Raw genomic sequence first — 14,459 nt, 5'->3', positions numbered from 1 at the left:
GAACAAAGCTAGATGGAGAATGACTTTGATGAGTGGAGGGAAGAAGTGTTCCGATGATCAAACTTATCCGAGCTAAAGGAGGAAGTTCGCACACATGGCAAAGAAGTTAAAAACCTTGACAAAAAATTAGATGAATGGCTAACTAGAATAATGAATGCAGAGAATTCCTTAAAGGACCTGATGCAGCTGAAAACCATGACACGAGAACTACATGATGAATTCACAAACCTCAGTAACCGGTTTGATCATAGAGCAATTTCAAAACACTCTGTTTGTAAAGTCTGCAAGTGGATATTTGGACCTCTTTGAGGCCTTCGATGGAAAGAGGATTTTTTCATATAATGCTAGACAGAAGATTTCTCAGTAACTTCTTTGTGTTGTGTTTAATTCAAGTCTCAGGGTTGAACCTTCCTTTAGACACAGCAGATTTGAAACTCTCTTTTTGTGGAATTTTCAGGTGGAGATTTCAAGTGCATTGGGGCAATGGAAGAAAAGGAAATATCTTCGTATAAAAACTAGAAAGAAGCATTCTCAGAAACTACTTTGTGATGTGTGCATTCATCTCACAGAGTTTATCCTTTTTTTTCATAGAGCAGTTTGGAAACGCTCTGTTTGTAAAGTCTGCAAGTGGATATTTGGACCTCTTTGAGCCCTTCGTTGGAAACGGGATTTCTTCATATAATGCTAGACAGAAGAATTGTCAGTAACTTCTTTGGGTTGAGTGTATTCAACTCACAGAGTTCTACCTTCCTTTAGACAGAGTAGAATTGAAACAGGCTTTTTGTGGAATTTGCAAGTGTAGATTTCAAGATATTTGAGGCCAATGGTAGAAAAGGAAATATCTTCCTATAAAAACTAGACAGAATCATTCTCAGAAACTACTTTGTGATGTGTATGTTCAACTCGCAGAGTTTAACCTGTCTTTTCATAGAGCAGTTTGGAAACACTCTGTTTGTAAAGTCTGCAAGCGGATATTTTGACCTCTTTGAGGCCTTCGTTGGAAATGGGATTTCTTCATATAATGCTAGACAGAAGAATTCTCAGTAACTGCTTTGCGTTTTGTGTATTCAACTCACAGAGTTGAACCTTCCTTTAGACAGAGCAGATTTGAAACACTCTTTTTGTGGAATTTGCAAGTGGAGATTTCAAGAGATTTGAGACCAATGGTAGAAAGGAAATATCTTCGTATAAAAACTAGACAGAATCATTCTCAGAAACTACTTTGTGATGTGTGTGTTCAACTCACAGAGTTTAACATTTCTGTTCATAGAGCAGTTTGGAAACACTCTGTTTGTTAAGTCTGCAAGTGGATATTTGGACCTCTTTGAGGCCTTCGTTGGAAATGGGATTTCTTCATATAATGCTAGACAGAAGAATTCTTAGTAACTTCTTTGGGTTGGCTGTATTCAACTCACAGAGTTGAACCTTCGTTTAGACAGAGCAGATTTGAAACACTCTTTTTGTGGAATTTGCAAGTGGAGATTTCAAGAGTTTTCAGGCCGATGGTAGAAAAGGAAATTTCTTCGTATAAAAACTAGACAGAATCATTCTCAGAAACTTCTTTGTGATGTGTACATTCAACTCGCAGAGTTTAACCATCCTTTTCATAGAGCAGTTTGGAAAATCTCTGTTTGTAAAGTCTGCAAGTGGATATTTGGACCTCCTTCAGGGCTTCGTTGGAACGGGGTTTCTTCATATAATGCTAGACAGAAGAATTCTCAGTTACTTCTTTGTGTTGTGTGTATTCAACTCACAGAGTTGAACCTTCCTTTAGACAGACCAGATTTGAAACACTCTTTTTGTGGAATTTTCAAGTGGAGATTTCAATCGCTTTGAGGCCAATTGTAGGAAAGGAAATATCTTCTTATAAAAACTAGACAAAATCATTCTCAGAAACTACTTTGTGATGTGTGTGTTCAACTCACAGAGTTTAACCTTTCTTTTCATAGAGCAGTTTGGAAACCCTCTGTTTGTAAAGTCTGCAAGTGGATACTTTGACCTCTTTGAGGCCTTCATTGGAAACGGGATTTTTCTTATAAAACTAGACAGAAGAATTCTGAGAAACTTCTTTGTGATGTGTGCATTCAACTCACAGGGTTGAACCTTACTTTCCAAAGAGCAGTTCTCAGACACTCTTTTTGTAGAACTTCCAAGTGCATACTTAGAGTGCTTTGAAGCCTACGGTAGACAACTTAATATCTTCATGTAAAAACTAGACAGAACCTTTCTCAGAAAGCACGTTGCGATCTCTGCATTCAACTCACAGAGTTTCACCTTTCTTTCATTAGAGCACTTATGGAACACTCTCTTTGTAGAATTTGCCAGGGTGTATTTAGAGGGCTTTGAGGCCTATGGTAGAAAAGGAAATATCTTACATAAATACTAGACAGAAGCGTTCTCAGAAACTAAGTTGTGATGTTTGCATTCAACTCACAGAGTTCAACATTCCTTTTGATAGAGCGGTTTTGAAATACTCTTTGCAGAATCTGCAAGTGGATATTTGGACCTCTTTGAGACCTTCGTTGGAACGGGATTTCTTCATATAGTGGTAGACAGACGAATTCTCAGTAACTTCTTTGCGTTGTGTGTATTCAACTCACAGAGTTGAACCTTCCTTTAGACAGAGAAGATTTGAAACACTCTTTTTTTGGAAATTGCAAGTGGAGATTTCAGGCGCTTTGAGGCCAATGGTAGAAAAGGAAATATCTTCGTATAAAAACTAGACAGAATCATTCTCAGAAACTACTTTGTGATGTGTGCATTCAACTCACAGAGTTTAACCTTACTTTTCATAGAGCAGTTTGGAAACACTCTTTTTGCAGAATCTGCAAGTGGATATTTGGACCTCTTTGAGGCCTTCGTTGGAAACGGGATTTCTTCACATAATGTTAGACAGAAGAATTCTCAGTAACTTCTTTGTGTTGTGTGTATTCAACTCACAGAGTTGAACCTTCCTTTAGACAGAGCAGATTTGAGACACTCTTTGTGGAATTTGCAAGTGGAGATTGAAAGCGCTTTGAGGCCAAAGGAAGAAAAGGAAATATCTTCGTATAAAAACTAGACAGAATCATTCTCAGAAACTACTTTGTGATGTGTGCGTTCAACTCACAGAGTTTAAGCTTTCTTTTCATAGAGCAGTTTGGAAACACTCTGTTTGTAAAGTCTGCAAGTGGATATTTGGACCTCTTTGAGGCCTTCGCTGGAAACGGGATTTCTTCATATCAAACTAGACAGAAGAATTCTGAGAAACTTCTTTGTGATGTGTGCATTGAACTCACAGTTTTGAACCCTCCTTTCGTTACAGCTGTTTTGAAACACTCTTTTTGTTGAATTTCCAAGTGCATATTTGGACTGCTTTGAAGCCTATTGTAGAGAACGAATTATCTTCATATAAAAACTAGACAGAATCATTCTCAGAAACCACTTTGTGATGTGTGTGTTCACTTCACAGAGTTTAACCTTTCTTTTGATAGAGCAGTTTTGAAACCCTCTTTTTGTAGAATCTACAAGTGGATATTTGGACCTCTTTGAAGCCTTCATTGGAAACGGGATTCTTCATATAAAACTAGACAGAAGAATTCTTAGAAACTTCTTTGTGGTGTGTGTATTCAACTCACAGTGTTGAACCTTACTTTGGATAGAGAAGTTTTGAAACACTCTTTTTGTAGAATTTCGAAGTTAATGTTGTGAGAACTTTTATGCCTATATTAGAAAAGGAAATATCTTCAAATGAAAACTAGACAGAATCATTCTCAGAACCTATTTTGTGATGTGTGCCTTCAACTCACAGAGTTTAACGTTTCTTTTGAAAGAGCTGTTTTGAAACACTCTTTTAGTAAAGTAAGCAAGTGGATATATGGAACTCTTTAAGGCCTTCGTTGGAAACGAGAATTCTTCTTATAAATCTAGACAGAAGAATTCTGAGAAACTTCTTTGTGATTTGTGCATTCAACTCACAGTGTTTAACCTTTCTTTTGATAGAGCAGTTTTGAAACACTGGGTATAATTTGCAAGTGGATATGTGAAGCTCTTTGAGGCCTACGATATAAAAAGAAATATCTTCATACAAAAACTAGACAGATTCATTCTTAGAAACTTCTTTGTGATGTGGGGGTTCAACTCACAGAATTTAAACTTTCTTTTGATAGAGCAGTTTTGAAACACTCTGTATGAAAATTCTGCAAGCGGATATTTCGACCTCTTTGAGGCCTTCGTTGGAAACGGGAATTCTTCATATAAAACAAGACCGAAGAATTCTGAGAAACTTCTTTGTGATGTGTGCATTCAAGTCACAGAGTTGAACCTTACTTTTGAAAGAGCAGTTTTCAAACACTCTTTTTGTAGTACTTCCAAGTGCATACTTAAAGTGCTTTGAAGCCTACGGGAGACAATGAAATATCTTCATGTAAAAACTAGACAGGATCATTCTCAGAAACCACGTTGTGATCTGTGCGTTCAACTCACAGAGTTTAACCTTTCTTTCCATAGAGCAGTTATGAAACACTCTCTTTGTAGTATTTGCAATGGTGTATTTAGAGGGCTTAGTGGCCTATGGTAGAAAAGGAAATATCTTACCATAAAAACTAGACAGAAGCATTCTCAGTAACTACTTTGTGATGTTTGCATTCAACTCACATAATTCAACTTTCCTTTTGATAGAACATTTTTGAAACCCTCTTTTTGCGGAATCTGCAAGTGGATATTTGAACCTCTTTGAGGCCATCGATGGAAACGGGATTTCTTCATATAATGCTAGACAGAAGAATTCTCAGTAACTTCTTTGTGTTGAGTGTATTCAACTCACAGAGTTGAACCTCCCTTTAGATAGAGCAGATTTGAAACACTCTTTTTGTAGAATTTGCAAGTGGAGATTTAAAACACTTTGTGGCCAATGGTAGAAAAAGAAATATCTTTGTATAAAAACTAGAAAGAATGATTCTCAGAAATTATTTTGTGATGTCTCCGTTCAACTCACAGAGTTTAACCTTTCTTTTGGTAGAGAAGTTTTGAAACACTTTGTTTGTAACGTCTGCAAGTGGATATTTGGACCTCTTTGAGGCCTTCATTGGAAACGATATTTCTTCATATAAAAATAGACCGAAGAATTCTGAGAAACTTCTTTGTGGTGTGCATTGAACTCACAGTTTTGAACCCTCCTTTCTTTAGAGCTGTTTTGAAACGCTGTTTTTGTAGAATTTCGAAGTGCATATTTAGTCTGCTTTGAATCCTATTGCAGAAAAGGAATTATCTTCATAAAAAAATTGACAGAATCATTCTCAGAAACCACTATGTGATGTGTGTGTTCACCTCACAGAGTTTATCCTTTCTTTTGATAGAGCAGTTTTGAAACCCTCTTTTTGTAGAATCTGCAAGTGGATATTTGGACCTCATTGATGCCTTCATTAGAAACGGGTTTCTTCATACAAAACTAGATAGAGGAATTCTCAGAATCTTCTTTGTGATGTGTGTATTCAACTCACAGTGTTGAACCTTACTTTCGATAGAGGAGTTTTGAAACACTCTTTTTGTAGAATTTCCAAGTTAACATTCTGAGAACTTTTAGGCTTATATGAGGAAAGGAATATCTTCATGTAAAAACTACAAAGAATCATTCTCAGAATCTATTTTGTGATGTGTGCATTCAACTCACATAGTTTAACCTTTATTTTGAAAGAGGTGTTTAGAAACACTCTGTTTGTAAAGTAAGCAAGTGGATATTTGGACCTCTTTGAGGCCTTCATTGGAAATGGGATTTCTTCTTATAAACGTAGACAGAAGATTTCTGAGAAACTTCTTTTGAGGTGGAGATTCATCTCCCAGAGTTGAAACTTCCTTTGGCAGAGCAGATTTGAAACACACTTTTTGTAGAATTTCAAAGTAAATATTGTGAGAACTTTCAGGCCTATATTATGAAAGGAAATATCTCATATAAAAACTAGATAGAATAATTCTGAGAATCAATTTTGTGATGTGTGTGTAAAACTCACAGAGTTTAACATTTCTTTTGTAAGAGCTGTTTTGAAACACTCTGTAAAGTAAACCTGTGGATATTTGGACCTCTTTGAGGTCTTCTTTGGAAACGGGATTTCTTCTTATAAAACTGGACAGAAGAATTCTGAGAAAATTCTTTGTGATGTGTGCATTCAACTCACTGAGTTGAACCATCCTTTCGATAGGGCAGTTTTGAAACACACTTTTTGCATAATTTCCAAGGGCATATTTAGAGTGCTTTGAAGCCTATTGTAAAAAAAGGAATATCTTCATATAAAAAGTAGACAAAATCATTCTCAGAAACAACTTTGTGTTGTGTGTGTTCTACTCACAGAGTTTAACATTTCTTTTGATAGAGCAGTTTTGAAACACTCCTTTTGTAGAATTTGCAAGTGGATTTATAAAGCACTTTGAGGCCTATGTTAGAAAAGTAAACATTTTCATAAAAAACCAGACAGATTCATTCTCAGAAACTACTTTGGGATGTTTTCGTTCAACTCACAGTGTTCAACATTGTTTTTGATACAGCTGTTTTGAAACACTTATTTTGTAGAAGCTGCAAGTGGATATTTGGACGTCTTTGAGGCCTTCATTTGAAAAGGGAATTCTTCATATAAAACAAGACAGAAGAATTCTGAGAAACCCCTTTTGGATGTGTGCATTCAACTCACAATGTTGAACCGTACTTTCAAAAGAGCAGTTTTGAAACACTCCTTTGTAGAACTTCCAAGTGCATACTTAGAGTGCTTTGAAGCCTATGGCAGAAAACGGAATATCGTCATATAAAAACTAGACAGAATCATTCTCAGAAACCGCGTTGTGATGCGTGCGTTCAACTCACAGAGTTTAACCTTTCTTTTGATAGAGCAGTTATGAAACACTCTTTTTGTAGAATTTGCAAGGGTGTATTTAGAGGGCTTTGTGGCCTATTGTGGAAAAGGAAATAGCTTACCATGAAAACTAGACAGAAGCATTCTCAGAAACTAATTTGTGATGTTTGCATTCAACTCACAGAGTTCAACATTCCTTTTGATAGAGCAGTTTTGAAACACTCTTTTTGTAGAATCTGCAAGTGGATATTTGGACCTCTTTGAGGCCTTCATTGGAAATGAGATTTGTTCATATAAAACTAGACAGAAAAATTCTCAGTAACTTGTTTGTGTTGTGTGTATTCAACTCACAGAGTTGAAGCTTCATTTAGATAGAGAAGATTTTAAACACTCTTTTTGTTGAATTTGCAAGTTGAGATTTAAAGCACTTTGAGGCCAGTGTTAGAAAAGGAAATATCTTCGTATAAAAACTAGACAGAATTATTCTCATAAATTACTTTGTGATGTGTGCATTCATCTCACAGAGTTTAGCCTTTCTTTTGATAGAGCAGTTTTGAAACACTGTGTGTGTAAAGTCTGCAAGTGGATATTTGGACTTCTTTGAGGCCTTCATTGGAAACGGGGTTTCTTCATATAAAACTAGACAGAAGAATTCTGAGAAATTTCTCTGTGATTTGTGCATTGAACTCACAATTTTCAACCCTCCTTTCTTTAGAGCTGTTGTGAAACACTCTTTGTGTAGAATTTACAAGTGCATAGACTGCTTTGAAGCCTATGGTAGAAAATGAATTATCTTCTTATAAAAACGAGACAGAATCATTCTAAGAAACCACTTTGTGTTGTGTGTGTTCATCTCACAGAGTTTAAACTTTCTTTTGATAGAGTGGTTTTGAAACCCTCTTTTTGTAGAATCTGCAAGTGGATATTTGGACCTCTTTGAGGCCTTCGTTGGAAACGGGTTTCTTCTTATAAAACTAGACAGAAGAATTCTCAGAAACTTCTTTGGATTTGTGTATTCAACTCAAAGTGTTGAACCTTTCTTTCGATAGAGCAGTTTTGAAACACTCTTTTTGTAGAATTTCCAAGTTAATATTTTGAGAACTTTTAGGCCTATATGTGAAAAGAAATATCTTCATATAAAAACTAGATAGAATCATTCTCAGAATCTATTTTGTGATGTGTGTGTTCAACTCACAGAGTTTAACCTTTCTTGTGAAAGAGCTGTTTTGAAACACTCTGTTTGTAAAGTAAGCAAATGGATATTTGGATCTCTTTCAGGACTTCGTTGGAAATGGGAATTCTTCATATAAAACAAGACAGAATTCTGAGAAACTTCTTTGTGATGTGTGCATTCCACTCACAGAGTTGAACCTTCCTTTAGGGAGAGCAGATTTGAAACACTCCTTTTGTAGAATTTGCAAGTGGATATTTAAAGCGCTTTGAGGCCTATGGTAGAAAAGGAAATATCTTCATATAAAAACTAGACAGATTCACTCTCAGAAACTACTTTGTGATGTGTGCGTTCAACTCACAGAATTTAACCTTTCTTTTGATAGAGCAGTTTTGAAACTCTCTGTTTGTAAAGTCTGTAAGTGGGCAGTTTGACCTCTTTGAGGCCTTCATTGGAAACGGGAATTCTTCCTACAAAACAGGACAGAAGAATTTTGAGAATCTTCTTTGTGATGGGTTCATTGAACTCAGAGAGTTGATCCTTATTTTCAAAAGAGCAGTTTTCAAAGACTCTTTTTGTAGAACTTCCAAGTGCATACTTACAGTGCTTTGAAGCCTGAGGTAGAAAACGAAATATGTTCGTATAAAAACTAGACAGAATCACTCTCAGAAACCATGTTGTGATGTGTGCGTTCAACTCACAGAGTTTAACCTTTCTTTTGATAGAGCAGTTATGAAACACTCTTTTCGTAGAATTTGCACGGGTGTAATTAGAGGGCTTTGGGGCCTATGCTAGAAAAGGAAATATCTTACCATAAAAACTAAACAGAAGCATTCTCTGATACTAATTTGTGATGTTTGCATTCAACCCACAGAGTTCAACATTCCTTTTGATAGAGCAGTTTTGAAACATTGTTTTTGTAGAATCTGCAAGTGGATATTTGGACCTCTTTGAGGCCTTCATAGAAACGGGATTTAGTCATTTAAAACTAGACAGAAAAATTCTCAGTAAATTCTTTGTGTTGAGAGTATTCAACTCACAGACTTGAACCTTCCTTTAGATAGAGCAGATTTGAAACACTCTTTTTGTAGAATTTGCAAGTGGAGAGTCAAAGCGCTTTTAGTCCAATGGTAGAAAAGGAAATATCTTCGTATAAAATCTAGACAGAATCAATCTCAGAAACTGCTTTGTGATGCGTGCATTCAACTCACAGAGTTTAACCTTTCTTTTGATAGAGCAGTTTGGAAACACTCTGTTTGTAAAGTCTGCAAGTGGATATTTTGTCGTCATTGAGGCCTTCATTGGAAATGGGATTTCTTCATATAAAACTAGACAGAAAAATTCTCAGTAACTACTTTGTGTTGAGTGTATTCAACTCAGAGAGTTGAACCTTCATTTAGATAGAGCAGATTTGAAACACTCTTTTAGTAGGATTTACAAGTGGAGATTTAAAGCACTTTGAGGCCAATGGTAGAAAAGGAAATATCTTCGTATAAAAACCAGTCAGAATCATTCTCAGAAACTTATTTGTGTTGTGTGTATTCAACTCAAAGAGTTGAACCTTCCTTTAGATAGAGCTGATTTGAAAATCTCATTTTTTTGAATTTGCATGTGGAGATTTAAAGCACTTTGAGACCAATGGTAGAAAACGTCATATCTTCGTATAAATACGAAATGTCTTCGTATAAAAACTAGACAGAAGTAGTCTCAGAAACTACTCTATCAAAAGGTCAACATTCCTCTTGATAGAGCTGTTTTGAAACACTTTTTTTCTAGAATCTGTAAATGGATATCTGGAACTATTGAGGTCTTTTTTGGAAATGGGACTTCTTCATATAAAGCTAGACAGAAGAATTCTCAGTAGCTTCTTTGTGTTGAGTGTATTGAACTCACAGAGTTGAACTTTCCTTTAGATAGAGAAGATTTGAAACACTCTTTTTCTAGAATTTGCAAGTGTAGATTTCAAGCGCTTTGAGACCTATGTCAGAAAAGGGAATATCTTTGTATAAAAACTAGACAGAATCATTCTCAGAAACTAATTTGTGCTGTGTGTGTTCAACTCACGGAGTTTAACCTTTCTTTTGATATAGCCGCTTTGAAACCCTGTTTGTAAAGTCTGCAAGTGGATATATGGACCTCTTTGAGGACTTCGTTGGAAATGGGATTTCTTCATATAAAACTAGAAAGAAGAATTCTGAGAAACTTCTTTCTGGTGTGTGCATTGAACTCACAGTGTTGAACCTTCCTTTCAATAGAACAGTTTTGACACACACTTTTTGTAGAATTTCCAAGTGCATATTTGGAATGCTGTGAAGCCTATGGTAGAAAATGAAATATCTTCATATAAAAACTAGACAGAGTCATTCTCAGAAACCGCTTTGTGATGTGTGTTTTCAACTCACAGATTTTAACCTTTCTTTTGATGTAGCAGTTTTGAAACACTCTCCTTGTAGAATTTGCAAGTGGACATTTAAAGTGGGACAATGGTAGAAAAGGGTATATCTTCGTATAAAAACTAGACAGAATCATTCTCAGAAACTACTTTGTGATGTGTGAGTTCAACTCACAGAGTTTTACCTTTCTTTTGATAGTGCAGATATGAAACACTCTTTTTGTAGAATTTGCAAATGTATATTTAGAGGGCTTTGTGGCCTATTGTAGAAAATGAAATATCTTACCCTAAAAACTAGACAGAAGCATTCTCAGAAACTAATTTGTGATGTTTGCATTCAACTCACAGAGTTCAACATTCCTTTTGATAGAGCGGTTTTGAAACACTCTTTTTGCAGAATCTGCAAGTGGATATTTGGACCTCTTTGAGGCCTTCTTTGGAAACGGGATTTGTTCCTATACAGCTAGATAGAAGAATTCTCAGTAGCTTCTTTTTGTTGAGTGTATTCAACTCACCGAGTTGATCCTTCCTTTAGATAGAGCTGTTTTGAAACACTCTTTTTGTAGAATTTGCAAGTGGATATTTAAAGCGCTTTGTGGCCAATGGCAGAAAAGGAAATATCTTGGTATAAAAACTAGACACAATCATTCTCGGAAACTACTTTGTGATGTGTGAGTTCAACTCACAGAATTTAACCTTTCTTTTGATAGAGGAGCTTTGAAACACTCTGTTTGTAAAGTCTGCAAGTGGATATTTGGACCTCTTTGAGACCTTCGTTGGAAATGGGATTTCTTCATATAAAACTAGACTTAAGATTTCTGAGAATCTTCTCTGTGATGTGTGCATTGAACACACAGTTTTGAATCCTCCTTTCGTTAGAGCTGTTTTGAAACTCTTTTTGTGTAATTTCGAAGTGCATATTTAGACTGCTTTGAAGCCTCTGCTAGAAAACGAATTATCTTCATAGAAAAACTGGACAGAATCATTCTCAGAAACCACTTTGTGATGTGTGTGTTCACCTCACAGAGTTTAAGCTTTCTTTTGATAGAGCAATTTTGTAACCCTCTTTTTGTAGAATCTGCAAGTGGATATTTGGACCTCTTTGAGGCCTCTGTTGGAAACAGGTTTCTTCATATATAAGTAGACAGAAGAATTCTCAGAAACTTCTTTGTGATGTGTGCATTCTACTCACAGCGTTGAACCTTCCTTTCAATAGAGCAGTTTTGAAACACTCTTTTTGTAGAATTTGCAAGTCGAGACTTAAAGCGCTTTGTGGCCAATGGTAGAAAAGGAAATATCTTTGTATAAAAACTAGACAGAATCATTCTCAGAAACTACTTTGTGATGTGTGCGTTCAACTCACAGAGTTTAACCTTTCTTTTGATAGAGTAGTTATGAAATACTCTGTTTGTAAAGTCTGCAAGTGGATATTTGGACCTCTTTGAGGCCTTCGTTGGAAACGGGATTTCTTCATATAAAACTAGACAGAAGAATTCAGAGAAACTTCTTTGTGATGTGTGCATTGAACTCACAGTTTTGAACACTCCTTTCATTAGAGCTGTTTTGAAACACTCTTTTTGTACAATTTCCAAGTGCATATTTAGACTGCTTTGAAGCCTATTGTAGGAAACAAATTATCTTCATATAAGACGAGACAGAATCATTCTTAGAAAGCACTTCGTGATATGTGTTCACCTCACTGAGTTTAACCTTTCTTTTGATAGAGCAGTTTTGAAACCCTCTTTTTGTAGAATCTGCAAGTGGATATTTGGACCTCTTTGAGGCCTTCTTTGGAAACGGGATTTCTTCTTATAAAACTAGACAGAAGAATTCTGAGAAACTTCTTTGTGATGTGTGCATTCACCTCATGGATTTGAACCTTACTTTTGATAGAGCAGTTTTGAAGCACTCTTTTTGTAGAATTTTCAAGAGCATATTTAGAGTGCTTTGAAGCCTATTGTAGAAAATGAAATATCTTCATATAAAACTAGATAGAATCATTCTGAGAAACCACTTTGTGATTTGTGTGTTCAACTCACAGAGTTGAACCTTTCTTTTCATTGAGCAGTTTGGAAACAGTCTTTTTGTAGTATCAGCAAATGGATATTTGGGGTGCATTGGGACTTATGTTGGAAATCAAATATCTTCACATAAAAACTAGACAGAAGCATTCTGAGAAACTTCTTTGTGATGTGTTTATTCATCTCACAGGGTTGAAACTTTCTTTGCACTTAGCAGTTTGGAAACAGACTTTTTATAATGTCTCCAAATGTATATTTGGAACTCCTTGAGGCCAATAGTGGAAAAGGAAATATCTTCACATAAAAACTAGACAGAAGCTCTCTGAGAAGCTTCTTTGTGATGTGTGCATTCATCTCACAGAGTTGAACCTTTCTTTCGATTGAGCACTTTTGAAGCACGTTTTCTGTAGAATCTGCAAGTGGATATTTGGAGTGCTTTGTGGCCTATAGTCAAAAAGCAAATATCTTCACATAAAAACTAGACAGAAACATTCTGAGAAACTTCTTTTTTATGTGTGCACTTATCCCACATAGTTGAATGTTTCTTTTGATTGAGCTGTTTTGAAACACTCTTTTTGCAGAATATTCAATTGGATAAGTAGAGCGCTTTGAGGCTTATGGTGGAAAAGGGTATATCTTCACATATAAACTAGACAGGAGCATTCTGAGAAACTGATTTGTGAAGTGAGCAATCAAATCACAGAGTTGAACCTTTCTTTTGATTGAGCAGTTTTAAAACACTCTTTTTGTAGAAGCTGCCAGTGGATATTTGGAGCACTTTGAGGTCTATGGTAGAAAAGAAAATATCTTCACATAAAAATGCAGCCGAAGGATTCTGAGAAACCTCTTTGTGATGTGTGCATTCAACTCACACGGTTGAAAGTTTCTTTTGATTGAGCAATTTGGAAACAGTCTTTCTGTAGTATATGCAAATGGATATTTGCAGTGCTTTGAGGCCTATGGTGGAAAAGGGAATATTTTCCCATCAAAACTAGACAGAAGCTTTCTGATAAACTTCTTTGTGATGTGTGCATTTCTCTCACAGAGTTGAAACTTTCTTTTGATTGTGCAGTTTTGAAACATTCTTTTTGTAGAATATCTAAGTGGATATTTGGAGGGTTTTCCAGCCTTGATTGAGCAGTTTTGTAGCACTCTTTTTGTAGAATCTGCAAGTGGATATTTGGACTGCTTTGAGGCCTATGGTGGAAAGGGTAATATCTTCACCTAAAAACTAGACAGAAGCATTCTGAGAAACTACTTTCTGATGTGTGCATTCAACTCACAGAGTTGAACCTTTCTTTTGATTGAGCAGTTTGGAAACAGTCGTTCTGTAGTATCTGCCAATGGTTATTTGGAGTGCTTTGTGGCCTATGGTGGAAAAGGAAATGTCTTCACATTAAAACTAGATAGAATTATTCTGAGAAATATCTTTGTGATGTGTGCATTCATCTCACAGAGATGAACTTTTCTTTTTATTGAGCAGTTTTGAAACACACTTTTTGTAGAATCTTCAAGTGGATATTTGGAGTGCTTTGAGGCCTATTGTGGAAATGGAAATATCTTCACATAAAAACTAGACAGAAGTATTCTGGGAAACTTCTTTGTGATGTGTGCATTCATCTCACAGTGTTGAACCTTTCTTTTGATTGAGTAGTTTTGAGGCATTCTTTTTGTAGAATCTGCATGTGGATATTTGGTGTGCTTTGCGGCCTATAATGGAAAAGGAATTATCTCCTCATAAAATCTAGACAGAATCATTCTGAGAAACTTCTTTGTGATATGTGCATTCATCTCACAGTGTTGAAACTTTCTTTTGACTGAGCAGTTTTGAAACACTCTTTTTGTAGTATCTGCAAGTGGTATTTGGAGTACTTTGAGGCCTATGGTGAAACTGGAAATATTTTCACCTGAAAACTAAACAAAAGCATTCTGAGAAACATCTTTGTGATGTGTGCAATTATCTCAAAGGGTTGAACCTTTCCTTTGGCTGAGCAGTTTGGAAACAGTCTTTCTGTAGAATCTGCAAATGGATATTTGGAGCCTTTTGAGGCCCA

General features: G+C 35.9%; 13 annotated features.

Annotated features, from left to right (window-relative positions):
• Window positions 411–1,177: an enhancer, noted in NCBI's record as "OCT4-NANOG-H3K27ac-H3K4me1 hESC enhancer chr10:42397944-42398710 (GRCh37/hg19 assembly coordinates)". NCBI's record gives its function as "activates a minimal SCP1, AML or CMV promoter by ChIP-STARR-seq in naive and primed H9 embryonic stem cells {active_cell/tissue: H9 hESC(naive and primed)}" and the evidence as "EXISTENCE:reporter gene assay evidence [ECO:0000049][PMID:30033119]".
• Window positions 1,178–1,943: an enhancer, noted in NCBI's record as "OCT4-NANOG-H3K27ac-H3K4me1 hESC enhancer chr10:42398711-42399476 (GRCh37/hg19 assembly coordinates)". NCBI's record gives its function as "activates a minimal SCP1, AML or CMV promoter by ChIP-STARR-seq in naive and primed H9 embryonic stem cells {active_cell/tissue: H9 hESC(naive and primed)}" and the evidence as "EXISTENCE:reporter gene assay evidence [ECO:0000049][PMID:30033119]".
• Window positions 1,944–2,709: an enhancer, noted in NCBI's record as "OCT4-NANOG-H3K27ac-H3K4me1 hESC enhancer chr10:42399477-42400242 (GRCh37/hg19 assembly coordinates)". NCBI's record gives its function as "activates a minimal SCP1, AML or CMV promoter by ChIP-STARR-seq in naive and primed H9 embryonic stem cells {active_cell/tissue: H9 hESC(naive and primed)}" and the evidence as "EXISTENCE:reporter gene assay evidence [ECO:0000049][PMID:30033119]".
• Window positions 2,710–3,474: an enhancer, noted in NCBI's record as "OCT4-NANOG-H3K27ac-H3K4me1 hESC enhancer chr10:42400243-42401007 (GRCh37/hg19 assembly coordinates)". NCBI's record gives its function as "activates a minimal SCP1, AML or CMV promoter by ChIP-STARR-seq in naive and primed H9 embryonic stem cells {active_cell/tissue: H9 hESC(naive and primed)}" and the evidence as "EXISTENCE:reporter gene assay evidence [ECO:0000049][PMID:30033119]".
• Window positions 3,976–4,477: an enhancer, noted in NCBI's record as "OCT4-NANOG-H3K27ac hESC enhancer chr10:42401509-42402010 (GRCh37/hg19 assembly coordinates)". NCBI's record gives its function as "activates a minimal SCP1, AML or CMV promoter by ChIP-STARR-seq in naive H9 embryonic stem cells {active_cell/tissue: H9 hESC(naive)}" and the evidence as "EXISTENCE:reporter gene assay evidence [ECO:0000049][PMID:30033119]".
• Window positions 4,478–4,977: an enhancer, noted in NCBI's record as "OCT4-NANOG-H3K27ac hESC enhancer chr10:42402011-42402510 (GRCh37/hg19 assembly coordinates)". NCBI's record gives its function as "activates a minimal SCP1, AML or CMV promoter by ChIP-STARR-seq in naive and primed H9 embryonic stem cells {active_cell/tissue: H9 hESC(naive and primed)}" and the evidence as "EXISTENCE:reporter gene assay evidence [ECO:0000049][PMID:30033119]".
• Window positions 6,451–7,071: an enhancer, noted in NCBI's record as "OCT4-NANOG-H3K27ac hESC enhancer chr10:42403984-42404604 (GRCh37/hg19 assembly coordinates)". NCBI's record gives its function as "activates a minimal SCP1, AML or CMV promoter by ChIP-STARR-seq in naive H9 embryonic stem cells {active_cell/tissue: H9 hESC(naive)}" and the evidence as "EXISTENCE:reporter gene assay evidence [ECO:0000049][PMID:30033119]".
• Window positions 8,057–8,558: an enhancer, noted in NCBI's record as "NANOG hESC enhancer chr10:42405590-42406091 (GRCh37/hg19 assembly coordinates)". NCBI's record gives its function as "activates a minimal SCP1, AML or CMV promoter by ChIP-STARR-seq in primed H9 embryonic stem cells {active_cell/tissue: H9 hESC(primed)}" and the evidence as "EXISTENCE:reporter gene assay evidence [ECO:0000049][PMID:30033119]".
• Window positions 8,600–9,467: an enhancer, noted in NCBI's record as "OCT4-NANOG-H3K27ac hESC enhancer chr10:42406133-42407000 (GRCh37/hg19 assembly coordinates)". NCBI's record gives its function as "activates a minimal SCP1, AML or CMV promoter by ChIP-STARR-seq in primed H9 embryonic stem cells {active_cell/tissue: H9 hESC(primed)}" and the evidence as "EXISTENCE:reporter gene assay evidence [ECO:0000049][PMID:30033119]".
• Window positions 9,468–10,333: an enhancer, noted in NCBI's record as "OCT4-NANOG-H3K27ac hESC enhancer chr10:42407001-42407866 (GRCh37/hg19 assembly coordinates)". NCBI's record gives its function as "activates a minimal SCP1, AML or CMV promoter by ChIP-STARR-seq in primed H9 embryonic stem cells {active_cell/tissue: H9 hESC(primed)}" and the evidence as "EXISTENCE:reporter gene assay evidence [ECO:0000049][PMID:30033119]".
• Window positions 10,445–11,022: an enhancer, noted in NCBI's record as "OCT4-NANOG hESC enhancer chr10:42407978-42408555 (GRCh37/hg19 assembly coordinates)". NCBI's record gives its function as "activates a minimal SCP1, AML or CMV promoter by ChIP-STARR-seq in primed H9 embryonic stem cells {active_cell/tissue: H9 hESC(primed)}" and the evidence as "EXISTENCE:reporter gene assay evidence [ECO:0000049][PMID:30033119]".
• Window positions 11,275–11,848: an enhancer, noted in NCBI's record as "OCT4-NANOG-H3K27ac hESC enhancer chr10:42408808-42409381 (GRCh37/hg19 assembly coordinates)". NCBI's record gives its function as "activates a minimal SCP1, AML or CMV promoter by ChIP-STARR-seq in naive H9 embryonic stem cells {active_cell/tissue: H9 hESC(naive)}" and the evidence as "EXISTENCE:reporter gene assay evidence [ECO:0000049][PMID:30033119]".
• Window positions 11,849–12,421: an enhancer, noted in NCBI's record as "OCT4-NANOG-H3K27ac hESC enhancer chr10:42409382-42409954 (GRCh37/hg19 assembly coordinates)". NCBI's record gives its function as "activates a minimal SCP1, AML or CMV promoter by ChIP-STARR-seq in naive H9 embryonic stem cells {active_cell/tissue: H9 hESC(naive)}" and the evidence as "EXISTENCE:reporter gene assay evidence [ECO:0000049][PMID:30033119]".

This window comes from Homo sapiens, chromosome 10 (assembly GCF_000001405.40).
Source record: "Homo sapiens chromosome 10, GRCh38.p14 Primary Assembly".
Classification (NCBI taxonomy): domain Eukaryota; kingdom Metazoa; phylum Chordata; class Mammalia; order Primates; family Hominidae; genus Homo; species Homo sapiens.
Note: the sequence above shows the minus strand (reverse complement) of the source record. Positions and strands in the feature narration are given on the sequence as shown.